The sequence below is a fragment of the Homo sapiens genome, chromosome X (assembly GCF_000001405.40).
Source record: "Homo sapiens chromosome X, GRCh38.p14 Primary Assembly".
NCBI lineage: Eukaryota > Metazoa > Chordata > Mammalia > Primates > Hominidae > Homo > Homo sapiens.
In genome coordinates, this window is record NC_000023.11 from 18,586,072 (window position 1) to 18,613,146 (window position 27,075).

Genomic DNA, 27,075 nt, shown 5'->3' on the forward strand with positions numbered 1-27,075 from the left:
GTTTTTGAAAGCTTTACTATTTTTTTTAAATCAAAAGCTTGCTTTATCCTGAAAAACAAAGATGCTTAGTCACTTTATTATCTCTTCCATTGTGTAGGCAGAGTTTAGAGTTTTTATGCTAATTTTTAATCTTAGAATTAGGATTGATTTTCTTTGTGTTTGTCTATATTTCTTCCGTGTACCTTTTGGACTCATTGGGATGCATAGTCCATTTTCTTTTGGGAGAATTGAATTTACTGGACACTTTACCAATGGAGAAATGAGTATGAAGTAGATCATTCTTAGAACCCCATCTGAGGACTCAAGTGTAGTAGAAGGGCTTGTTATAATATGGTGGTGTCTGTAACATGGCCCCAAAAAGTTTATTTTGAGGACAGCCTTATTGTGAATCTTCAGAGAGTATCTGCTGCTTAATAATACCTGTAGAAAAACTGGAGTTATGTTTAGAGATGTGTGCTAGCTGCTAAAAGTATGGGGACAATGTAACTAAATTAGTGCTGAAATGAATATTGCTAATTAAGTGATTGTCAAGTACTAGTTGAAGAGCCATATTTGTAAAAATCCTTTTGAAATCAGGTATTTGGTTATACATTAAGAATTTAAGTTTTATATATTCTCAAGGCTTTGTCCTTGACATTCAGAATCATTCCAGCTGCATAAATTATTCAAATCAGATGACAGAAGAAAAATAGCTTGTAGTGAGTATGTGAAAATTTTCCATAAGTTTCTCCATCTAGCACTATGGAACAAATTTTCTCTTTCTCAAACAGATACGAAAGAAAGATCAGTATCTTGCCCTGCCCAACAAACTTACCAAAAAGATCTAAATGAAGTTTCCTTGTGTAGTTCTTAGGTTGATATGGGAAGGAAATGAGATAAATGAAATATTGACTTATTATTGCAATGATTTGTTATCCTAGAAATTTGTTCTGTATAATGTTAACAGTCCTTTGATTTAAAAGTTTTGTTTCACTACTGTATCATTTTAGCATTCCAAAATTTCTTTCCATATTCTTTTTCAGATATTTTCTTTTGGCTTTCCCTTCTTAAAGCTTGGATTATTTATGTTGGAAATGTGTGTGAGCGTGCACGCGTGTGTGTGTGGTTTCTTAATTTGCTGTAAATTTAACACTCTAGATATAAAGCTGTTTTGAGGATACCTAGATTTTCATATACAACCTCCATTTATTAATAACAGCAACACTCCTAAAGCCCTCTGGTAAACTCACACCCTAGAAGAAGCTATAAACCCCTAAATAAACTGGAAAATGTTTTGAGGGAAATAGCTACCATAAAGCTCTATATACATAGGTTACATATATTATATTCAAATAAATAATATAGTAGATCTTAGCACAATCTTAGTCATCAGAAACTGTGATGCTGAGCGATGGAAGGTTAAATAATATTCAGTGTTAAGGAAACACATAAATCAGTACATAGTAAATTTTAATAGACTGAACTCATAAAATGGATAAGATGTATCTTTTTGACATTTAGAGAGCTAAAGGATAATTATTTGTCTTAGAAAATACAATTATTTGGAAGCATTTCATTCCCCAAGTGAGGTGTTACTTGCCAGATATGTATACTGTATTAGGGTTTATTAAGCCGTTCACATTTAAGATACATATCTATTTATGTGAATAAATTTCAAATTAGTGTATACTAACTAAATTGTTATTAAATTGATGGCTTTATTAGCATAGGTTTATTCACTTGTGTTCTGATGATTTGCTTTTCAGCCTTCTTTTCACATGGAACTTTTTAATTTCATAAATATACAAGTGTGCTGCACATAAATTTGTTCACAATAATTTGGAAATTATCAAAACATTATATTTTTTCAGTTGCCAAAATAATCTCTTCCTTTATTTTTCAGCGCTCCCTATGGAAAGTCCGTGGACATGTGGTCGGTGGGCTGTATTCTTGGGGAGCTTAGCGATGGACAGCCTTTATTTCCTGGAGAAAGTGAAATTGACCAACTTTTTACTATTCAGAAGGTGCTAGGACCACTTCCATCTGAGCAGATGAAGCTTTTCTACAGTAATCCTCGCTTCCATGGGCTCCGGGTAAGAGGTTTTGCTGAAACCCAAAATGGAATCAATACTGCAGTATTTGAGTCATTGTTCATTGCACAATGGAATGCTAAACTATCCTTTGAATACTATTTCTTTTCCCATTACAGTGTTTATAATCCCTATTATAATATTTTATTTCCGAATTTTTTAATAGTACTTGTGGATTTAAAAAGTGGTTAGAATTCAAATTCTAATCTTTTTTCTAATTTTTAAGTTCCAGTTTTTCAAAATCTTTTTTAGTGTATACATTTTTACACACTAAACTTTGGTTATCTTATATTGTTTCTTTATCCAAAATATTAAGCATCCCCCAAATATACCAAATGTATGAATGTTGAACAAACATATTTGTAGTGATTTGAGGAAAGCCCTGAAAACTTGGATTCCCCAGATTTGAAGGTTCTTGTTTTAGTAGATGTTTCTGGTCCACTGACGGTGAAACATCAAATCTTCTTTTCAAATTAGTGTATTGTCTTGGGTCCGTGCATGGTGGCTCACTCCTGTAATCCCAGCACTTTAGGAGGCCAAGTTGGGCAGAACACTTAAGGCCAGGAGTTCGAGACCAGCCTGGCCAACTTTGTGAAACCCCATCTCTACAAAAAAATACAAAAATTAGCCAGGCATGGAGGTGCACACCTGTAGTCCCAGCTACTCGGGAGGCAGAGGCAGGAGAATTGCTTGAACCCAAGAGGCAGAGGTTGCAGTGAGCCGACATCATGCCACTGCACTCCAGCCTGGGTGACAGAGTGAGATTCTGTCTCAAAAAAAAAAACAAAAACAAAAAAAAAACAACAACTAGTGTATTGTCTTGGGCAGCCTTTCCTAGACTTGACAACTTTGTACAAAACTTTTCTGAGAATATGTGAAATAGCGTCTTAGAAAGTATAAACTTTCCCCAAATGAGGAGGAGTCACCTTATTAGAGTGCCCAGTGAGTTATAGGCTACTTCTTCCACCTACCCCAAAAACAACTTTTTAAGTTTTCAGCCAGTTTTTTTTTTTTATTATACTTTAAGTTCTAGGGTACATGTGCACAACATGCAAGTTTGTTACATATGTATACATGTGCCATGTTGGTGTGCTGCACCCATTAACTTGTCATTTACATTAGGTATATCTCCTAATGCTATTTTCCCCCCTCCCCCAACCCCATGACAGGCCCCAGTGTGTGATGTTCCCCATCCTGTGTCCAAGTGTTCTCATTGTTCATTTCCCACCTATGAGTGAGAACATGCAGTATTTGGTTTTCTGTCCTTGGGATAGTTTGCTGAGAATGATGGTTTCCAGCTTTATCCATGTCCCTACAAAGGACATGAACTCATCCTTTTTTATGGCTGCATAGTATTCCATGGTGTATATGTGCCACATTTTTTTAATCCAGTCTATCATTGATGGACATTTGGGTTGGGTCCAAGTCTTTGCTATTGTGAATAGTGCCGCAGTAAACATATGTGTGCATGTGTCTTTATAGCAGCATGATTTATAATCCTTTATATACCTGGTAATGGGATGGCTGGGTCAAATGGTATTTCTAGTTCTAGATCCTTGAGGAATCACCACACTGACTTCCACAATGGTTGAACTAGTTTACAGTCCCACCAACAGTGTAAAAGTGTTCCTATTTCTCCACATCCTCTCCAGCACCTGTTGTTTCCTGACTTTTTAATGATCACCATTCTAACTGGTGTGAGATGGTATCTCATTGTGGTTTTGATTTCCATTTCTCTGATGGCCAGTGATGATGAGCATTTTTTCATGTGTCTGTTGGCTGCATAAATGTCTTCTTTTGAGAAGTGTCTGTTCATATCCTTCACCCACTTTTTGATGGAGTAGTTTGATTTTTTCTTGTAAATTTGTTTAAGTTCTTTGTAGATTCTGGATATTAGCCCTTTGTCAGATGGGTAGATTGCAAAAATTTTCTCCCATTCTGTAGGTTGCCTGTTCACTCTGATGGTATTTTCTTTTGCTGTGCAGAAGCTCTTTAGTTTAATTAGATCCCATTTGTCAATTTTGGCTTTTGTTGCCATTGCTTTTGGTGTTTTAGTCATGAAGTCCTTGCCCATGCCTGTGTCCTGAATGGTATTGCCTAGGTTTTCTTCTAGGGTTTATGGTTTTAGGTCTAACATTAAGTGTTTAATCCATCTTCAGCCACTTTTTTGGGCCAGCATGGCAATTGCTGGTCATTGTGGGAGCTATAAAATAATCTCCCCACCATTTCTTTCCTTTCTCTGAAATGCGTAGTTCTCAAACCATGTTACCTTGCCATTTACAAAGCACTTTGTTTTTTTCTTTTGATTTTCTGGCCCCCAGTTAATTTCCCTTTAGAGACCACCACTGCTCAAACCTGAGTGCCCAACCGTCCAGATCCTTCTAGGCTCAGTGAATGTGGGCGAAATGAATGGACAGAGGCATGCCAGTATCTTTTTTATCTCCTGCTTTTTGTCTGTCTTTCACATCTGTCTGAGTTACCTCAGGCAAGTTTGTTGTTTCTCCTTTTATTTTTGCTTTTGTAAGCCAGAAATTTGCCAGCTATGACCAGTAATTGGGGTGCCAACAGCATATGTGGTTCAGCAGGTTAGCTCAACATTTTTGAACATTTGTCATACTAGGTGTTGGAAATATGACAATAAATAGGACTTGTCCCCAGTCTAGAAGAAAGAAAAATCTATTATACTCAGAAATAAAGTTAGTCATAATTAATGAATTGCATTTTCACTGAAAATCAATCTAAACTCCTTGCCGTAGCCTATGAGACCTTGCCTGACCTCATCTCGTACCTATCTCCATTCCCCCCATTCTCCAGATTCTCAGCACACTTGCCTTTTTTGTTCTTTGGCTTCCATAAACATTCCAGGGTTTTTCCAGTTTCATCAACTTGGGACCCATGGCTGCTTCTCCTGGCAAGGTGCTTCCCTCGTGTGGTCCCTTCTCATTCTGTCAATCTCAAAGAGTGCCTCTTTCTCTGGCCACCCAACGTACCACCCTCACCTCCATCCTAGTCTTTCTCTCCCACAGCATCCTTTTTCTATCATAGAACTTACCACAGTATGGAATTATTTTGTCTGTTTCTTTACTTGTTAATTGTTAACTATCTAGTCCTCTCACACTGGAATATGTTTCTCAAGGGCAGAAATCAACTGTTTTATCACATCACAGATGTGTTTCCAGCATTTAACACAGTATCTACCATATCCAGTGAGTATTCACTACATATCTGAGAAGTGATTAACCAGTCTGTGGCATCAGCATTGAAACTCAACTGTATTTCTTTTCTCTCCATCTCTCATGCTTCTTTTACCCTTTTACCTTTACCTAACCTTTGACCACCACCCCCAAATAGATCCCCCGATCTTTCTCTTTTCACTTTAGCCTTCTCACATTTCTCAAACCACACAATTCTCTTTTTTGTTTAGAAACCTCTACAAGGTTACTGATAAAGTTTAAACTCTTTAGGGTAGCTTTAAAAACCCCTTCTTAGTTCTCCAGCTTCATTTCTGCCTCCCCGCTAGCCCAGTTTGTGCTCTTTGGCCACATTGAACCTCTCACCATTTCCTTGACATATTGCTTTTATAGTCTGCATTTCCATCTCTATAATGCTCCCAACACTCACCTGTCTTTCTTCTCCTCCTCCTTCCTCCCCTAGACTCAGGCCAAATGTCCTCCCTCCGTGAAGACCTTCTAGACTATTCGAGGGGAAACTGGTGACCCTATAACACTCTGGTTATACCTCTTTTGTAGCACCCATTGCATTCTCCTTTAAGTAGCTGTTTGCAAATATGTATCCTCACTGGACTGAGGAAATGAACTGTTATGTTCACCATTATATTTGCAGCACACCTAGAATAGTGCCTGCTAGGCTGAATAGTGTTGAATGATTAAATATTTGACCTCAGGATTTTAACATTAACTGCTGGAACATTAAGCCTGGTTTGCTGGCTGACTTGTTCTTGGCCTGGTTAATGGGGCTGTATGCCGGATTCTCTGAAGAGAGTATGAACAGATCTGACATGCTGCTTGGCCTTAATAACTTACAAACTAGCTGAAGAATTAAGACTTTCATCCATGAAATAATTAGAAAACAATACAATTTATAAGAAAGCGTGGTATATAATAAAGTACTGCATTGTTTACCTCATTGTACGGTTTTCTAATGTATCTCCATATGGTTTAGACCATGAGAGTGTCAAATATTCTGGAAAGTTAGAAATCATCATTGGGGATTCATTAGAGAATGCTTTATGAAGCATTTGACATTTGAAATGGATATTGAAGAACGAGGAGCATTTGGATTAGATAGGCCACACAAAGGATTATCTCTTTCTCATTTGTCTGTGGTCCTGTTTGTTCATAGTCTTCTTCCCTAAACAATACTGTCTATAAAATTCTAGACAGCGTGTGATAATGCTGCTTACAAACATCCTTCAGGGAAATTGCTGCCTCCATCACACTTTGACTTTTATAAACCTTAATACTTTACATTTTAGTCTGAAAGTGTTTGTGGTGTTTTAACTAAATTAGTTTAATCTCTTTGGAGGCTTGACAATATCTTTTGAGGGAGAAATTTTCTTTCATGATGTTATTTGAAAATGTCTATGACAGATAGCTAAGCACATGGGACATGTAAACTGCATCTGCTGTGCACCATGGACTCACCAGTAACCAGTCCAGTGTGATGTGCATTTGAAGTTAGTTGTGTAGAGACAGGAAAATCTACAAGATGTTGCTATAGTGGTTTGCATTATTGGGATAAAGTAACAATTGATGCCCCATAGTATAGGGCCTAGGCTCTGGAGTTAGATTGCTGTGGTTCAAGGCCTGGTTCCGTATTTACTATTTTGAATGATGCCAGGAAGTTATTTCACCATCCTGTGCCTCTGTTTCTTCTTGTGTAAAATGATGATAACCAAAAGACTGCCTGATTGGATTGGTGTAAAGATGAAATATTATTTGTAAAATGTCTAGACCAGAACCTCACGCATAGTGCTCAGCAAAGAGGCATTCTCATTGGATTGTATTGGATTGGCCAAGTGATTCAGAAAGAGACAAGACTGATTGAGATATACTTTAAACTTCTATGCATGAGTTTTGGCTATTTGTTGAATTATTTCATATTAGAATGGTAGGTCTCACTCAAACGCATGTAAATTAATTCTTTGAAGTTAGGAGTTTGCTTGGTCATTTTTTATTATAATATTTCTAATACCTTTCGACTTTCAGCATTAATTTTCTTATCAATGAAATTTCACTCCTAGAAAAAATAAGGGGGTATCTGGTAGCATAAGATAGACCTCATACACAAAATATTAACATGTACTGGTATAGGGTCTTTTATCACAGCATGGTAGGTGTCTTTCTATTTGGGCTGATATTTAATGCTCCAGTAACATCGAAGGGAGCCTCTGTACTTCCCTTAGGAGAGGCACCTAGGTTTAGAAAGAGTGTGGGTTTGGATCACAAGACTGGGTGCAAATACTAGTTCTACTGCTGTTTAATTATGTAACTTGCCTTGAACCAGTTATTTGAACTTTCTGATTGTCACCTTCTTCATCTCTAAAATAAGAATAATATATCCAAAATGCCTCGCATAACATCACTTCCCTCAGAAATCAGTTTTAGGTTATTGCCTGTGCATCTGTATTGAGTTCATGTTATTCCTTCTACTCCTCTATCTGGAAGGTGCTGTCCTACTTTTCTCTGTCTTCACATTTTTCATATTTTTCAAAACCCAATTCAGATATTACCTATGGGTTCTTTCTTCCACAGCCATAAACCATCTTGGTCTTTCCTTTCTCTGAGCTTCAATTAGAATTTATGGTTGCACAGTTTAACATTGATTGCTTTCCCAACCAGACAGCAGATTCCTCAAGAGCAGGGTTTGGGTCTTACCTGTATTTTTTGTCTCCTGCTATCCAGAGCATGGTGTGGAGATGATGTCATAATCACTCCTTAAATATCTTGTTTGAAATTTTACTGTATAATTAGTCCTCCCATTTACTTATTTAGCATGTTTAGGGATTTCGGTACTTAGAAATGCTTGTATGTTGGTATAGAGGAAATAATGTATGGAAGCAGACTAGCCCTGACATTTGGAAGGGAGTACATGGCATTGGGCTCTGCCAGTCATATTACCCAATACTTTAACATCCACTAGATATTGCAGAATGTGAGTTGGCAGAGGAAAGAACAAAAAGCACATCTAAATAAACTTGACCCCTTCCCCTCATTTTATTTAAAAATGCATTTGTTAATCTAGGAACCTGTTTGTCTTCGGTTCCAACTTTAAAAAAGGAAGAATTTGAAAACAGGTCATTGTAAGAGCATATTAAAAGCGATGACAGAATGTGTGTCTGAATTCACTCTCTACTTCTGTGACCTTTTAGGTACTGGCCACTTACTTTCTCTCTATTTTTACTTCTATGTTTTCAAAAGTAAATGGTATGTTGTTGTTAAAAAGCTATAAGGATTCTATCTAATGTCTTATCATATCCTTTCTGCTAGACCCTCAATTACTATCAGTAATTAAGAATCATGTGTATAAGCAGACAAATTATGTATACACTGTATTAAAACTGAATTGTTTATAATCAGATGATATTCTATTTTACTGCATAATTAGTTCAAATTTTTATATTTTAGTTTGTTTCACATGCCTTAGTATTGTCTGCCTAGATTTAAGTATCATCTTTCACCTGTGAGTTTTCCTATTATTTGACACCCAGTCGTAGTAATCCATATAAAAATACATAGACGGCCGGGTGTGGTGGCTCACGCCTGTAATCCCAGCACTTTGGGAGGCTGAGGCGGGCAGATCACAAGGTCAGGAGTTCGATGCCAGCCTGGCCAATGTAGTGAAACCCCAGCTCTACTAAAAATACAAAAAATTAGCCAGGCGTGGTGGCAGGTGCCTGTAATCCCAGCTACTCAGGAGGCTGAAGCAGGAGAATCGCATGAACCCGGGAGGCAGAGGTTGCAGTGAGCCCAGATCGCACCATTGCATTCCAGCCTGGGCAACAGCATGAAACTCTGTCTCAAAAACAAACAAAAAAAAATACATAGACAACAAAAGTAATATACAAGTATGAATTTGACTGGGATTGGCATTTTTGCTTATCTGCTCCCTTCTGCAACACTCACAAGCACGTGCACACACATGTCCTTCCCCAAATGTTAACATTCCCTTTGTGTATGTCTCACAGTTTCCAGCTGTTAACCATCCTCAGTCCTTGGAAAGAAGATACCTTGGAATTTTGAATAGTGTTCTACTTGACCTAATGAAGGTAAGGCCAATTGATATTATCTCTATAAAATGTCTTTTGGTTTGTGGATTCTTTTGTGTCTACATGTGACCATAGCCTGCTTTTATGAATGAAATTTTAGGAGATGTGGAATGGCAAATAATGGGGAACTATGTCATATTAAAAGGCATGTAACTTATTTAAAATTACAATGGGATCTGGTATTGTCACAGTCCATCTAGACAGAATCATGAGACCCCTAAATGACATTCTTAAAATGGACAGAATAATAAAAATCTGTTAGCATGCAAGAGCTGTTCAAGCATAAGGTTTTAAAACAAATCTTAAAATCAATGTTGAAAGAAGAAATTCAACAATTTTTTCTGACATGGTATTTGAAGCCTCCCATCGCCTACACAGATTTGATCAGTGAATCTAATTTTTCTCTTTTTCTAACTTGGTCTCTTCTCTCCCAGACTCTTTCTGGCTCTACTTTAGACGTATCAGGATCATTGCTAATGCTGTGGCCTGAGTGTTCTTCCTTATGCTACCCTCCCTGTCCAGAAGTCTTCCTGCTCTATACTCTAAAAGCATTCTCAAATTTCTTTATTCAAGTTTATTTTTTTTTCTCCAGTAGACAGTCGGCTCCTTGAGTGGGAACTGTTTTTCATATTTCTCCAGCTTTCACTGCAGCCAGAAGTGCATAAGCAAGTGTTGGTTGTTTGATAGTAGACCTTCAAAGAACACTTATTAATGGATCAATTTTATTTTATGCCCAGTCAGTCAACTGTCAAAATCAGTAGAGGTTACACTGTGCATAGAGCCTTTAAAAGGCATACTTAGCACAGTCGGAAATTTCTGAGTGGCATTCTCAGAACTTTGCCGTGCTTTAAACTATGTTAATCTGTGTTCCAGGGAACATAGTGTACATAGGTGTGGGGGTGGAGGTGGGGGAGGAGGGTGTGACGTTTCGGAAAGGCCACATACCATACAACCTTTTGTAGAGATGCACAATATTCATTAATCCATAAAGGCTTTCAGAAATATCACAATAAAGAGGCATTTCTGTCTTACCCAATATTTTCCAAATTTAATTAAATACTGAATACTGTTTTTTATAAAACTCTAAAGCTCTAGTGTTCTTCTGAATACAGATTGAGAAATGCTACTGGCAAAAAAGAACCCTTAAAGCCTTTTGTTTAATTAGTCATAAATTATCACTTAAATCAGGTAGGTTTTGTCAATACACTTTTTCACACAGTCAGTCCTCATGGATTGGGACCTCAATAATTTGGTAACTTCTAAAATGTGAATAGAATAAAGTAGGAACATGGAATTAAATACAATTTCATGTTTTCTGCCTTTCATCTTTCTTTAGTTAAAAATAATTGAATGTTTTTGTTAAATCATTACCAAATATAATTGCCAAGCATCAGTGTGGTACCAGATTAAAAGCTAGCACAAATAAAAGTAGAAAGATTACCCGAATCATCCTGTGCTTCTGCCAGTTTAGAAGTTAAACATTCAAATTCCTATTTATTTAATATCTTTACCATCAGATTTCTTTAAGTAAATATTTTTATTGACATGTCCTTTCAGAAGGTGCGCAAATTGTATCTATATGTCAGTTACTTTTTATAATGTAAACATATTAGTGTAACTCTACCCAGATGTAGATAGAGAAAATTACTAACACCCTGGAAGCCTTCTTATGCCCCCTTCCAGGCTTTATGCCACCCCACCCCCCTCAGAAACCAGTTCCGACTTCTGTCACCAAAGATTAGTATTGCCTTATTATCAAATGTTATATAAATAGAATCATTCCTTTTGTTTTTTAGCTTTTTTTGAAAATGAATTTGAAAAATGAAAAATACCAATTATCCCTTCTTTGAATATTTCAAAGAGAAATATTCTCTTTGCCATTCTCTAAAGCTGCCGTGTTAATTTTGTCCACATCTAAGTACCTAAAATGGCCATCTCATCCTGTCAGCCAATTTAGTGGGGGTACAGGTCACCAAAATTAATTCAAGCCCCTAATAACCTTAAGACTAGCTGTAGTAATTATATTGGCTCTATTTTAGTCTTAAAAAACGTTTTCCCTCCAAGTACTGAACTTAAAAGTTTATGAAACTTTTAAAAAAATGTAAAAGAAGAAACTTTAAAACCAAAAAATTAGAGTTGAGGCTCTTTGCTGCTACAGAATGATTTTTTTTTTTTTTTTTTTTTTTTTGAGACAGAGTTTCACTCTTGTGCAGACTGGAGTGCAATGGTGTGATCTCAGCTCACTGCAACCTCCACCTCCCAGGTTCAGGCAATTCTCCTACCTCAGCCTCCTGAGTAGCTGGGATTACGGGCATGAGCCACCACGCCCAGCTAATTTTGTATTTTTAGTAGAGACGGGTTTTCACCGTGCTGGTCAGGCTGGTCTCGAACTCCTGACGTCAGATGATCCTCCTGCCTCGGCCTCCCAAAGTGCTGGGATTACAGGCGTGAGCCACCACACCTGGCCCCGAATTATTTCTTAGGATCTTATGTCAAGTGGGAAGAAAGCTAAATTCAGGCAATTATGTGTATACTACTATGTGGGTAAAATAAAAGGAACAGGTAGAGATATGTATAGGGAATATCTATGGAAGGATGCCTAAGAAACTGGTAACCTAGGCTGCCTCCAGAAAAGGGAACTGGGTATCTGGGGGATAAGAGAAAGATTAAGAATGTATATTCTTTCAAGTGAATATCTACTTAATTAAAAGTGTACTTTAAATTTTTTAATTATATTGTAAAAGTGATTTTGATTAATGATAAGTGCAGGATACAAAACTGTGTATATTTTGTAAAAGAAAATATGTATATAGGATATTCAAAAAAGGGCTGGGATCATATATACAAAGAGGAAAATGATGATGAGATTATAGGTGATTTAGATAGTCTTTTTTTTTTTATTTCCTGAACTGTGTTTACTTGATATTCTGCAATGACTGTGTATTTCTTTTATAAGGAAAAAAATAAGGTTTTTATTAGAACTTAAATTTGACTTTGTAATGTTCTTAACGATCCTAAATTTTATTTCCTAAGAATTTACTGAAGTTGGACCCAGCTGACAGATACTTGACAGAACAGTGTTTGAATCACCCTACATTTCAAACCCAGAGACTTCTGGATCGTTCTCCTTCAAGGTCAGCAAAAAGAAAACCTTACCATGTGGAAAGCAGCACATTGTCTAATAGGTAAATATTCCCTTTTAAGGAAATACAGATGCAGTGTTGGTCTTACAAGTAGGTGGAGGAGGTGGCTGCTTAAATGATGCAATTAGAGAAAAGAAGGAAAGCCCTCTTTATTCAAAAATATCTTCCTTATGCTTATTGCATGATTCAGAACCACAATTAAGGAGTTGTGTGGGTCTTAAAGACTTTCTTATCTTTAACTAGTATATGATGGAAACCTATGCATTCCCTGGGAAAGGTAGCATTGGGTTAGCAACTAAGGGGGTTTACAGCCTCAAGAGCTAGAATATTCTGTGTGAATGAAACCCATCAGTGATACCCGGAGGAAGAAAGCTGGGTGAAGGCAAGGGGATTCCTGGAGAGAGAAGAGGATGCCAAACACAGATGGTGGATGGAAATGTACCTAGTGTAATCTTTGTGACTGGACCAAATAGGTCTGGCTCTACAGAGAGGTCTTGTGTTTTTGTTGCTCTTGTCTTCTAATCATTGAGTTGAGAAATTAATTTTTCATAAGAATAAGAATATGGAAATAGTAAAGTCAGTGATTAAAATTGTTGCTCTTTAAATATTATTTTTCAGCATAATTTTTTCAAAGCCTGTTTCCTGAAAAACACACACACAGGATTTGGGCCATACAATCAGGTTGTCTTTCAGACCTGACATTCCTCAATTCTGTTGGTTGCATGTCCAAGAGGACAGTGTCCTAGTCATGGTCTCCCTGTTTTCCTTCATCTCCCAAGAGGCTGATCTTGTCATCTGGGGTCGTTGGATTATGGAAGATAGGAAATAGTTTCTCTCATCTACTATTACAAGATAAATAGAAAACAATGATTCTTTATTTTTATTTTTTAGTTTTTTTAGAGACAGGGCCTTTGCTCTGTCGCCTAGGCTGGAGAGCAGTGGCATGATTATAACTCACTGCAGCCTTGAACTCCCAGGCTCAAGCCTCCCTCCCACCTCATCCTCCTGAGTAGCTGGGACTATAGGAGCATGCCATCATGCCTGGCTAATTTTTTAAATTTTCTGTAGAGATGGGGTCTCACTGTGTTGCTCATGATGGTCTCAAACTCCTGGCCTCAAACAGGCCTCCTGCCTCAGTCTCCCCATGTGCTGGAGTTACAGGCATGAGCCATAGCATCTGGCTGAAAACAATAATTCCTAATATGAAGGTTTTTTAATATAAATTTTCTTCCCACCTGCAACCCCAAATTTTCCATCCATATAGAACCATTGTTCTTTTTTGAGACAGTGTCTTGCTCGATTGCTCAGGCTGGAATGCAGTGGTGCAATCATGGCCCACTGCAGCCTCTGCCTTCCTGGCAAGCGATCCTCCCACCTTAGCCTCCTGAGTAGCTGGGACAACAGGCATGTGCCACCATGGCTGGCTAATTTTTTATCTTTTGTAGAGAATTCCTGGGCTCAAGCGATTCGCCTGCCTCAGCCTTCCTAAGTGCTGGGACTACAGGGGTGAGCCACCACACCTGGCCAATCAGTTGTTCTTAATAGATCAGATTTTTAAAAGCTCAAGATCTGGTACTATTTAGGTCTGGGAGAGCATCCATAAACTGATGATGACCATTTATCGTATGTTTTCTCTGCTTAACTGTGATAGTATAATTGTGTTTTAGAGCTGTTTACTCTTCTTGAAAATGACTGGTTTCAGTTTGTTTCCCCTCACATCTTATAGACCTTTCTTAGCTGGCTTTCTTTGTTTGTTGCCATGAAATTTTTAGGACACTAAGTCAAGGAATAGTAGTCATCATTTGGTTGCTCCTTTGCATTTAGGGGGTGCAAATTAGTCCTGTGTCTTCTTTGGGGTTACTCTCAGTTCAGGTGCTTTTATCTCCTTTTTACCTTAATTGTCTCTTAGCTCCTTTAGTTTACACCGAAAAATTATCCCAATGATATAAAGTCCAGTAGACTGATAATAAGTTTTTGATTTGTGCTATAGTGATTAGTGATATAACCCATACTGTGAAAAGAGGCTGTGTATTTGTCTTCTAGTGACTCACTTGAGAGACAGAGTTCTTGGAATTAACCAGTGGGGACCTGAGGCTCTCCTCGGGAACCTCTTTAGGGATCTGTTAAGGAGGATGTGCTTGGTGATGATGTTTTCAGCAGATACAGAAGATATGATTTGTTTGGGTCCTTGAGGAGTCCTCCCAAGTCCCCTTTTGAAATAGAGGAGAATAGAAATTATAAGTGAATTTAAAATCTCTGGAAGAATCATTTTCAGGTCTTGACACTGTATTGAATATATTAAAGAAAAAGTCTTACATGATTTTTCTAGGAATGATCTTACCACATTTTACATATATCTGAGGGCTTTTGCTCCACACTGGTCTATGGTCCATACTTATTCCATGGATGCTTTTTTGGTTAGAGACATTAATTCTAGCTTGAATCTCAACACAAACGATGGCTCCCTAAGACTTCTCAGGACCATTTTAGAGATGCTCACAGCACCATATCACATTGGTTGCCACGTACAAACTCCCCTGCCTTGTCTCTGGAGACACAAACATGCTGTTGCATACCTTGTCTTCTAAATTTTTTCTCTCTAGGAGAGGCAGTGGACTCTTGTGTTACTTAGCCCCTGGCTATCTCCCTCAGGCTCTCCTGAGGTTCTGCCCACCATGGACACGGTGCAATGGTGCATCAGCTGCCCCATACTGCCACTCTCCTGGTCCTTCACCAGCCTTCTCCATCAAAGTGTAGCTTTGCACCTTCGACATTTGCTTTTAAAACTTACTTTAACTAAATCGTTATCTATCCATCCATCCATCCATCCATTCTGCAACCATTTAAGAAGAGTTTGTATGTAAAATTTTTTTAACTAGTTGGCAGTTTAACACAGATTCCTTACAGTTGTGTGTCGAAGAGATCTATGGAATTTTCAAAGCTGTTTTTTATTGTTGCACTTTGGCAGAGCTCCGATGCAAAGGGAGTATGATGCCCTTTCCACATAGGCGTTATGTGCAAAGCTCAGTGGTTTCCAACTAATCCTAAGACACAAACACTCAGAATGGCAGTTTAGGCTCTTTGTACACTTATGGAAAACCTAAAGCTTTGACACGTTTTACCTTAACTGGATAACCTCTCTTTTCATGTTAGAATTGTCTCTTACGTTGCTCTGAATGTGTTCTTTCTAAGATCCACATGTACGTTTCTGCTTAACGTCGCTAACAGTGTTTCTAAGAGTTCCAAAGGCTCAAGCAGCTGCCTTTGCTGTTCTCTGTCCCTTTATGGTCTTTGTGAGCTGAGGACGTTTCCCAATATCTGTACATGTTATCTGTCTACGATTACTATTTCTAGGCCTGAAGGGGAATGGGGATGAAATAGGGTTCTGAGAGTCCAGGGAGAGCTGGACCTGGGTAGGAAGAGCCACCCTGTAGAAGCTGTCATCTAGAAGGACACAGCCACGATCTGAGTCAGGGTGCAGATGCCTGCAGGGAAGGAGCAGGGAAGACATCCCCCAGCCCCTCTCTCCTCTTGTCTTGTGATGCCTTCCACTGCTAAGCCCAACCAGAAGCTAGCTGGCTAGGAAGCGTGGGTGACAATCTGCAGCATTGGGTTCCTGAGGCCCAGGGCCGGGCTCATGGGGGTGGAGGACGGATTGGAGGTTGGGCAAATGGAGAATAACCAACACACTTAGATCTATTTGTGGATGAGACAGTCTATCACTATTTAGGTTTGAAAAGTCGCTGAGATATTTCAGTTACCAAGATATAAGTTGGCAAACAACTCAATGGTTTAAAACCTGATGCCTTTAGGATATAGGGACTTTATTGATCTGGGGATAGACTCTGTTAATATAATTTAACAGAAAGTGAAACTTAGCATTTTTTTCTTTGTAATTCCTTTCTAGGTCTGGGCTTTGCCATTTTAGTGCTCATATTTAGGAGTCCTTTTATTTAATGCTGTAATTCTAATGACCTAACTGGAAGAGATTAGTGAGTACATTCAAGAGATGAGGCCCCCCACACTGTCACAGGCTTGCTCGATATCAGATTTTTTTTTCTTTTTTGACACTCTCAGGTAGCTTTCTGGCAGAGATTACTGACTGAAAGGTAGACTAGGAAATGGGTCCTTATGTTATTTAATGGCTGAGCATGCAGGTTCTCATGGGGAAAATTGGAAGTCAGAGCTTCACAGACTACCATTCTACATGAACAAAAAAAAGTGACTTCCAATTAGTGTGTCATGGGAACAAAACTCTCCCAAATCAAACCATCTGTAGCAATAGCAATATTTGCAGCAAAATTTTTTGAATGCATAGTAAAACCAGAATTGTGTAAATCATTATTCATTTTTAAACATTCTAGTCTGTCCCAAACTACAATTAGATCCTTTCAATAGTTACAGTAGCACAAACTGGCCTTGCTATGGTGTCAGTTTCAGCTTTCAAATAGAGGACAAGATTTTCCTCTGGATTTATATTTTGTATTTTAAACCAAGTGTGAAATGAAGCTTTAAGTCCTAAAGGAGGGCTCAGTCGGTCTAGGATAATGAAATGTTAAATAAAAAAGAGAATAATTGTGTCTTTTGGAGAGAAACGAACTCTTTCAGATCTCTGTAATCCGGTATAGTACAGGATTCCTGTTTACTGTACAAAGAGATATCTGAAGAGCCCCAAGTAATTGCCACTTCTCCAAGACATAAACATTGATCATCATGTTTTCCAACAAACCTCACTGGACAGTTTACATTTCTTTTTAGAGGGTCATTTTCTTTTATTAAGTACATTGCTAGAATTCTCATTCTTTGATTATGCAGGCAGAAGAGACATTGGTGTCTGTGTATGTGCTGTGAGTATGTATCTCTGAGGCAGGCTACAAGTTTTACAAATAAAAATGAAGTTCAAGAAACATAGTAACCTTTAAGTCTAAATGTTGTCTTCTGACATTCAAGCAGACAAAAGAGTTATAAAGAGTTTATAGCTCAGCTCTCTTCTTAGCAGTCATTCTATCACAAACACTCATATGAGTACCAATATAATGAGAGTATGTTTTACCAGATTATCATTTAGAAACTGTTTTGACAGCAAGTTAGCTGAGCATTTAGCAGTGCCAGAATAATTTCATCAAGGCCAGTGCTTTGTTACAGAGTGAGTTGGTCTAAGAAACTTAATTGCTGTTGATAGGTTACTTGTTATTCGAAGGCACATGCTTGAGAGAATTAATGTTTTTAGTCTTCCAGGTGTTTTGAGTATTTGTTCTTTCTTTTTAACAATACTTTTTGTGTGTCAGCTATTGAGGGAAACTGATATACTTCTTTTGTTTTTAACATAGAAACCAAGCCGGCAAAAGTACTGCTTTGCAGTCTCACCACAGATCTAACAGCAAGGACATCCAGAACCTGAGTGTAGGCCTGCCCCGGGCTGACGAAGGTCTCCCTGCCAATGAAAGCTTCCTAAATGGAAACCTTGCTGGAGCTAGTCTTAGTCCACTGCACACCAAAACCTACCAAGCAAGCAGCCAGCCTGGGTCTACCAGCAAAGATCTCACCAACAACAACATACCACACCTTCTTAGCCCAAAAGAAGCCAAGTCAAAAACAGAGTTTGATTTTAATATTGACCCAAAGCCTTCAGAAGGCCCAGGGACAAAGTACCTCAAGTCAAACAGCAGATCTCAGCAGAACCGCCACTCATTCATGGAAAGCTCTCAAAGCAAAGCTGGGACACTGCAGCCCAATGAAAAGCAGAGTCGGCATAGCTATATTGACACAATTCCCCAGTCCTCTAGGAGTCCCTCCTACAGGACCAAGGCCAAAAGCCATGGGGCACTGAGTGACTCCAAGTCTGTGAGCAACCTTTCTGAAGCCAGGGCCCAAATTGCGGAGCCCAGTACCAGTAGGTACTTCCCATCTAGCTGCTTAGACTTGAATTCTCCCACCAGCCCAACCCCCACCAGACACAGTGACACGAGAACTTTGCTCAGCCCTTCTGGAAGAAATAACCGAAATGAGGGAACGCTGGACTCACGTCGAACCACAACCAGACATTCTAAGACGATGGAGGAATTGAAGCTGCCGGAGCACATGGACAGTAGCCATTCCCATTCACTGTCTGCACCTCACGAATCTTTTTCTTATGGACTGGGCTACACCAGCCCCTTTTCTTCCCAGCAACGTCCTCATAGGCATTCTATGTATGTGACCCGTGACAAAGTGAGAGCCAAGGGCTTGGATGGAAGCTTGAGCATAGGGCAAGGGATGGCAGCTAGAGCCAACAGCCTGCAACTCTTGTCACCCCAGGTACAGTTGAGCACCTTGACTGAATCTGGTGGCCCTTCAGGGGAAGGTGGTACGAGGGATGTGATGAGGGTCCATCTACTATTTTCCCTACTACAGGAGGTTGTGCTTTTCTTGATAGGATGCATTTAGGGAAGCAATACTTGGCCTAATCTCTGTTTTTTTGTTTTTTGTTTTTTAAATCTATTTAGATCAACCGTTGAGTACTCAAGAAAAGTCAAATTTTGTTTTTAGTGATCTTTTTTTTTTTCTTAAATGTTCTTTTCTGGAATATTTTGTTGAGAGAATCCTATTTTGATTTATTACAGAATTCATCAGCTGTATCAGTTAGGTTTTAGTTTTTCTTAAAATACAGTGTGAATTCATGGGTATTTTCTCTGATCTCTCCAAACCACATTTGCTTAAATCAAAAGCTTTTGCTAGTACCTTACTCAATATTTTAACTGAATTTAAAAGTTTTAAATTTGTCCAGAACTACAGATAAATTTAACTTCATACCAGGATAAATGTTAGTTTTCAGTCTTTTGGATTGTTTTTAAATCTTAAAACAGCATTTTTAGCATAATGCTTCCTCCATCTTATTCATCGTCAAACTCTAGAACTGACCTAACCTGCTTAAAAGAAGTAGCATTCCTTCACTTGAACCTGGGAGGCAGAGGCTGCAGTGAGCCAAGATCACACCACTGCACTCCAGCCTGGGCAATAGAACGAGACTCTGTCTCAAAAACAAAAACAGAAACAAAAACAAAAAAAACAAGAAGTAGCATTCTTACAGTAGAGCATGTTTTAAAAATAATGTTATCATGATTTCATCTATAAAGTACTGTGCCCAGTGCCTGGCACAAAGTAAGTGTCTAACAAATTTTAGTTATTCTTGCTGCTTCTGTGATTGTGGAGGCTGATATTTGGACATTGAACACCTTTTCTATGCTGGGTGTTCCCAGGCACTCAAAAGAGTCTGAGAGAGCTCTTGCACTTGAGAAACTTACCTGCTCTTGGGGAAGATAAACTGATACATGATAACAATGAAATAAGTAGCCAGGTGCAGTGGCTCACGCCTGTAATCCCAGCACTTTGGGAGGCCGAGGCAGGCAGATCACGAGGTCAGGAGATCGAGACTATCCTGGCCAACATGGTGAAACCCCGTCTCTACTAAAATACAAAAATTGGCTGGGCGTGGTGGCGTGTGCCTGTAATTCCAGCTACTCAGGAGGCCGAGGCACTAGAATCGCTTGAACCCAGGAGGTGGAGGTTGCAGTGAGCCGAGATCGTGCCACTGCACTTCAGCCTGGTGACAGAGCAAGACTGTCACACACACACACACACACACACACACACACACACAAACACACAATGAAATAAGTAAGACCTAAGTCAATATGGCACTGGCTATAAATAGGAACTGAGAATAGAGAGAGGTCATTGTGAGCAGAAGCAGTTAGAAATGGCTTTACAGGCAACTGAAGGTCTTTCTCTGGGCTAGGATGTATAGACAAGCTTTGAATTGGCTGAAGAGTGAAGGTATGTTCAGGTACGTCCTGAGCTAGGCAACATGAAAAGCTCTAGCTAGAAAGATGAAAAGAATAGGTTCCCTGTCGTCTTAAGTGTGTGGGCTGGCAGGGGACACTTGTCAACAGATAAGTTGTTCCACTACTGTGAGGTTACATTCTGGCTACTGTGCTAGAGGCATGCCAGTGTGGCAAGGGAGCGAGACAGTCCAAGTTGTGAGTTGTGGGAGCTCCTAGAACAGGTGGCACCTGAGCAGAGACTTCCAGAAAGGTTGGGAAGAAAGTGACAGTGACCTCAGGAAAGAGGGAAGAAAAGAGCATTGGAAGGAGAAGGAAGGTAACAGATGTTACATAGCATGGTATGCTTTGGGCATTGCAACTTGTTCCACTTTGCTGGAGTGAAAAATGCAAAATTTGGAGTGGCTTTTGCAATAATTCAAGCACGAGGTGAAGAGAATATGTTTGGGATTAAGTCAGTGCCAGTGGGAAACGGAGTGGATCTTCTACTCCTCAGAAGTAGAAACAATAGGATTTGTGATTTGAAGGATTGAATATAGGAAAAAGGAAGACTTCATGGTTTCTTTTCTAGGACCTCCTTTTTGGAGTGAAAGAGAGTAGTTTTGAAGTCACCTAATTCAACCCCTTCATTTCACAGATGAGCATGTCGAAGCTCAGAGAAGTTGGGTGAGTTGCTCCAAGTTTACCCAACCAGCTCAGGATGGAGCTGGGATTATGAGGCAAGCTCCAGGTGCTGAGGCCAGCTGCTTGCCACTGGTGTCTTGCGGACATGTTGAATTTGAAGTGACCTTGGCCTCTAAGCAGAAGTGTGCTCTAAGAGGCTAAAAAGATGGTCTGGCACCCAGGTGAAAGGAGAAAGCAAGAGGTGCCCATTTGCAGAGGCTGGAAGTGGAGTCAGAGGAATGGTCAGAGGAGCCCTGAGGAGATGCTGTCGGGAGAAAGAACCTCCAGAGCCTAGAAAGATCTGGCAGCTTCCTGCAGAGGAGACATGGAAGGGAAAATTGGGTAAAATGTGCTAGCATTCAGCATGGTATAAAATGGAGAAGAAATCGGAAAAACAAATAGCTTTTTAACTTAGAAAAAGTAATTGCTCTCTGAGAATTCCAGGAAAAGAATTTTTGTGAACATGGTGGTCATAAACGAATTATAAACAGTTACTGTGGGCTAAGCACAGATCTGTTACAGACTGTGAAGGCCAGTTCAGGAGGTACAGTGCCCAGCTGCAAGAAAGTACAAGTTTAAAAGCACAAAGATACCAGAAGGCTGGAAAAGTAACTTAAGCTGTGAGTGAATCCTAGGAATCACTCCCATGCAAAGTATCGGGCCACCTTGAAAAGCACAGAGACTCTTACTGAGTTTATATTAGATGTTAATAATTTGTTTTCTTAAAATAATTTTTGTAGAGGCCTTTGTAAACAGTACAGGTGGTAAAAGTCAAATGAGACATTTTCATAAAATAGAAAGAAGGAAGGCTATGTTGGATGAATTCCTGCCCAGAATCCTCAGAGTACATTTGGAGAATGAGAGGGAGAAAAATAATCATATTTTAAATCTTAAATAAAATGTTTTTGATATGTCACATAGGCTTAAGGTAATGCCCTTTTCTGTGCATAATATACAGATATACGATGCAGCGAACTCCTTCTAATGACTTGGTAATTTTCTTCCTTAATCTTTTTTTCTGATGATAGAAAATGCTGTGTTTTTTCCCCTCGGTGAACACCATTGTGGACCGAGTACTGTTCTTAGCTTGTGACTCACTTCCTTGAGAGAGAAAGATAGTGGTATGTCTTTGGAGATGAGCACTATCATGATTTGGCTTCAGAAAATACATGAAACATAAGTGCTGTTATCCTAGAGAAGATTAAGACAAGAATTTAAGCACATAAACTATAGTAGTTAAGAGGATTTTAACACAAAAAATTATTAAAAGGACTTACTCTATTCCTTGATATATTCAAAAATCATTTATTTTCATCTGACTTTGCCATATAAGTCCTGCATGAAATATACTTTTGGAACTGCACAGTTCATTTTGGAGAACTCAGACTTAAAATCTGCTAGAGAAATTTCAGATAAACTAATAGAATTCCTAATCAGAGGGCCGCTCAGAACCATGACTGTCTAGATATTAGAATGGTAATTTTTTTTGTTTTTAATAATTAATTGAACTATTTTCAGACTAATTTGTTCTCTGCTTGCCTTAACTTTAATGAGAATTTTACTTTCCATCTGTGTGAAATTTGACTTATATTACATTCATCAGATTATTCACTTTTATGGGACTATTTGTATTTTAGCCAACTAACATTTTTTATTTTAGCTGGTTATGGTCCTAGTTCTACCAAATAAAGGCCATGATGAGTTCCATCCCTAGGAACAGGATGCTCTTATAAATCCTTTTAAATTTTACTTCCAGCCTGGAGAACAGCTCCCTCCAGAGATGACTGTGGCAAGATCTTCGGTCAAAGAGACCTCCAGAGAAGGCACCTCTTCCTTCCATACACGCCAGAAGTCTGAGGTATGTCACAATAAAATATGCCTGTAAACATTTGTTCAACATCATTACTGCCTAGCTTTTAAAATGTATTAATACCCAGTCTCCCACAAATAAGTTGAAGTGGCTTATAAAGTAAGTAGTTTTCCTTGTGGCATAATTCTGAGTTTTCTTTCAAAAAGATCATTAAGTCAATTATAGATTGATTAGGTACGGTTCTAAATTTGGGCCAGGTGGCTCACACATGTAATCCCAGCACTTTGGGAGGCTGAGGTGGGAGGATTGCTTGTGTCCAGGAGTTCAAGACCAGCCTGGGCAACATAGCAAGACCCCATCTCTACAAAAAGTTTAAAAAATTAGCTGGGTGTAGCAGCGTGTGCCTGTAGTCCCAGCTACTCGGGAGGCTGAGGCAGGAGGATTGCTTGAACTGGGGCAGTCAAGGCTACAGTAAGCCATGATCCTACTACTGCACTACAGCCTGGGCAATAGAGTGAGACCCTGTCTCAAGAAAAAAGTCATAGGCAATATTGTCATCAATGTGTGGCTTAACTTTTATAAATTTCTTTCCTGCCTCAGGGTGGAGTGTATCATGACCCACACTCTGATGATGGCACAGCCCCCAAAGAAAATAGACACCTATACAATGATCCTGTGCCAAGGAGAGTTGGTAGCTTTTACAGAGGTAAGCCCACCCCCGGCATTCAACAGGTTCCCCTCTCCTCCCTCTCTCACTTTATGTGCACACTGCTTTCACCGACTCAGGCCAGCGGCCTTCTCACCTACACTGTCGCCTTCCAGCGGTTCTCCCTGCCTCTGCTCCTGCTAAGTCAGGCCCTCCTGGCTTATGAATTGGCCTCCTTAGGTAGCCTCTTAACTGGTCTCCCTATCTCCAAGGTACCCATCAATATAGAGACTAGAGTGATCCTTCTGAAGCTGTGTTCTGACCATACCACTCATTTTGTTCTGTCAAGCCATAACATACTTATTGATGTTACCTGTGTGTCTGGCACTGTTCTGGCTTAGAACTTGTTGGTGAACAAGATAGTCAAAGATCTTCACCATCACGGAACTCACTTCCTCGGGAGGAGAGATGGACACTAAACATAATAATTATATAGAGCAGTAAAAGATATTAAGTGCTACAAGGGGGGAAAAAATAGAGCAAGGCATCCCATTGCCCACCCCACCCCACCCTACTCCTAATCCCCTATCACTCACCTGTTGAGAGTCTTTTGGTGGCTTCCCATTGGCATCAGGACAAAATCTGAATTCTCTAGGATGTCATTCCAGACTTCCCATGATCTGGCCCTTGCCATGCTCTCCAGCCACTTTCTCCCCCACCCCCCAGGTCTCTCTCGTACCCAGCCTATGGGACTGCACAGGCTGTGCCCTCCTCTGGCCTGTAATGTACTCTTCCTCCTGCTGGAACAGCTTGTTTCTGTCCCTTTCTTTAAGGTCCTCTTCAGTATAATATCTTCCCACAGTTTGTTCCAGATGGACTGAAACATTTTCTTCTCCGTTCTGTCTGTCGTACCTTGCCTGTAACTCTGATGTAACACTGACCACATTGCACTGATTCTTTGTCTGAGTTCTCTCTCACAAGGTTGTGAGACATTCAGTTCTCTTCGTGTTCTCTTCTTTTTATTCTCATTGACTAGTACACTGCCTCGCACAGTTTCATAAATATTTGTCAATTGAATTAAAGAAAAATTTCAAGTGTACTTGCACGGGCTAAAATGTACTTTGTTATTTAGCAGACAACTAAAACAGATGCTTTTGGGGTTGTACAAACTTAGGAGACATTGAATGACAAAGGCAATCCCTTTTAGTAACTATGCAGTAATAGATTGTAAAGCCCTTGGGCATTCCAACACCCTGGTGGAGAAAATGGACAGCAAGCCCACAGGGCCAAGAGCAAGGCCTTGGGTCAGGAGGCCTGTAAAGCCTTCAAGAGTCACCACAGCTTTCTAAAGCCTCCTATGCCCATGTTGCCTAACTTCCCACTATTTCTGTTGTTTTAAGAGGATAGTTGGAAAGGGGCAGGATTTGGGGCGGGGGCATGGAGAACTGCTTAGTCATTTTAATTAGGAACCCCAGCTAAATAAATGCACAGAAGTGTTATTTAGGACTAAATGTATATTTAATGATTAGGCTACTCTGTTCCTTCCCTTCCAGCCCCACCTTTGGAAAAGCATAAGGTATTGATTGAATATGCCATTTTTCCTGATACCATGATTACGCTTTAGTATTTTATGGGACTGGCCGGGCGCAGTGGCTCACGCCTGTAATCCTAGCACTTTGGGAGGCCAAGGCAGGAGGATCACGAGGTCAGGAAATCGAGACCATCCTGGCTAACATGGCAAAACCCCGTCTCTACTAAAAAAAATAAAAAATAAAATAGCCGGGTGTGGTGGTGGGTGCCTGTAGTCCCAGCTACTTGGGAGGCTGAGGCAGAAGAATGGCGTGAACCCGGGAGGCGGAGCTTGCAGTGAGCCAAAACCGCGCCACTGCACCCCAGCCTAGGCGACAGAGCAAGACTCCGTCTCAAAACAAAAAAAAAAAAAAAAAGAATTTTATGGGACTAAGCTTTTAATTAAGATTTAATTTAATTAAAATATTGTAACATACATGTGCAAAAGCCTTTTCTTCTATCACCAAAGCATTACCTCCAAAATGTAGCATAGGTGTGTTATTTCTATAGATGTCTGGAGAATATACATTAATATAAAATGCTAATGGAGATTTAAGTTAGTTAGTCTTTGACCTCTGGAAACACGGTTTTATTTTGATTGCAAAAAAAAATAAATTGGTTAATTCAGAGAAATACTTCATATGTCTCTACCTCATTAGTAGAGAGGGTAGTGAGAGCTTGGCAGGTGGAATGTTTTAATTTTAAAAATTTCAGATATAGAAGGAAAATATTTAACTAGATGAAACATCTGAAGACATCTGTCATTTCAATGATACTACTAAGTCCTAGAGGAAGATTTGGTGGTATCATTGAAATAACAGATGTTTCCAGAATGCTTCCTGTTTTCATTCCTATTGGTCAAGAGTCAAGTGAAATTGTGTCATTTATCTTTATATACAGTCTGTATATTCCTTTTGTGGTAAAATTTCCAGTATATTTTTATTATAACCATTCTTAGAAATTGACAGAAAAAGTTAATAACTATCCCCCCAAAAGCAGAAAAGTATTTATTCACATACATTATATTTTATCTTTTTCTTTTCATTTAGAATTTAGAGAAAAATAATATTTTTGTAGAAATAGCTAAATTTCTGTGTAATTTTGTTTAAAAACGAGTGATACTACCTCCCAAGTGTCAAGGCTTAAACTGTAGTTTGTCTGTTTCAGCACACATATTAATTACTTCAAACTAAGAATAGATTTTACATTGTTGGTCTATGATAAGAAAGCTTTAACTTCAAAGAATGCCAAAACGGTGGCAGGGAATGGTGGTAGGGGCTACAAGATTCACACTTGAAAATACCCTGGCCGGGCGCGGTGGTTCATGTCTGTAATCCCAGCACTTTGGGAGGCTGAAGTGAGCAGATCACTTGAGCTCGAGAGTTCGAGACCAGCCTGGGCAACGTGGTGAAACCTTGTCTCTACAAAAAATTAGCCAGGTGTGGTGGTGTGCACCTGTGGTCCCAGCTACCCAGGAGGCTAAGGTGGGAGGATCACCTGAGCCTGGGAGGTGGAGTTTGCAGTGAACCATGATTGTGCCACTGCACTCCAGCATGAGTAACAGTCTCTTATTTAAAAAAAAAAAAAAAGAGAGAGAGAAAAAAAATATAATGTTCTTCACTTTATCAGCTGGCAGGTCAGTTTACTGTTTTCAATACACATTACTTGGTGTTAACTAACCCTTGCAAATTAGTGTCATAAGCAGTGGATGGAGGGACAAGGTTCCCTGGAATGCCTTCACCCTCAGAAAACACAAAAGTTATGTGAAGAGCTGATGAGGATTTTTATATGTTTGTTTGTTGTTTTATTTGTGTTAGAGAAAATGCAGTAGGATAACGTGAAAACTGCTTTGACCAAAAGAGAACATCAGCCGTCTGTGGTGGTTCATGTCTGTAATCTCATCACTTTGGGAGGCTCAGGCAGGAGGATTGCTTGAGCCTGGGAGGTCAAGGCTGCACTGAGCCGAGATCACGCCACTGCACTCCAGCCTGGGTGACAGAGCGAGACTCTGTCTAAAAAAAAAAAAAAAAAAAAAGAAAAGTCCATCAGTGACTTACTTTTTCTTTA

General features: G+C 39.3%; 1 protein-coding gene across 3 annotated transcripts in view; it reads left to right on the forward strand.

The window, feature by feature from the left end:
- The window catches only part of CDKL5 (cyclin dependent kinase like 5), a 228,022-nt gene that overhangs the window by 160,464 nt on the left and 40,483 nt on the right, over window positions 1-27,075 (forward strand). For all 3 annotated transcript variants that reach the window (NM_003159.3, NM_001323289.2, NM_001037343.2), the window contains 6 exons: window positions 1,883-2,072; window positions 9,277-9,357; window positions 12,391-12,542; window positions 17,831-18,797; window positions 22,740-22,841; window positions 23,394-23,499. In NM_003159.3, the coding sequence (NP_003150.1) occupies window positions 1,883-2,072; window positions 9,277-9,357; window positions 12,391-12,542; window positions 17,831-18,797; window positions 22,740-22,841; window positions 23,394-23,499 (1,598 nt within the window). The remainder of the gene's footprint in view (window positions 1-1,882; window positions 2,073-9,276; window positions 9,358-12,390; window positions 12,543-17,830; window positions 18,798-22,739; window positions 22,842-23,393; window positions 23,500-27,075) is intronic.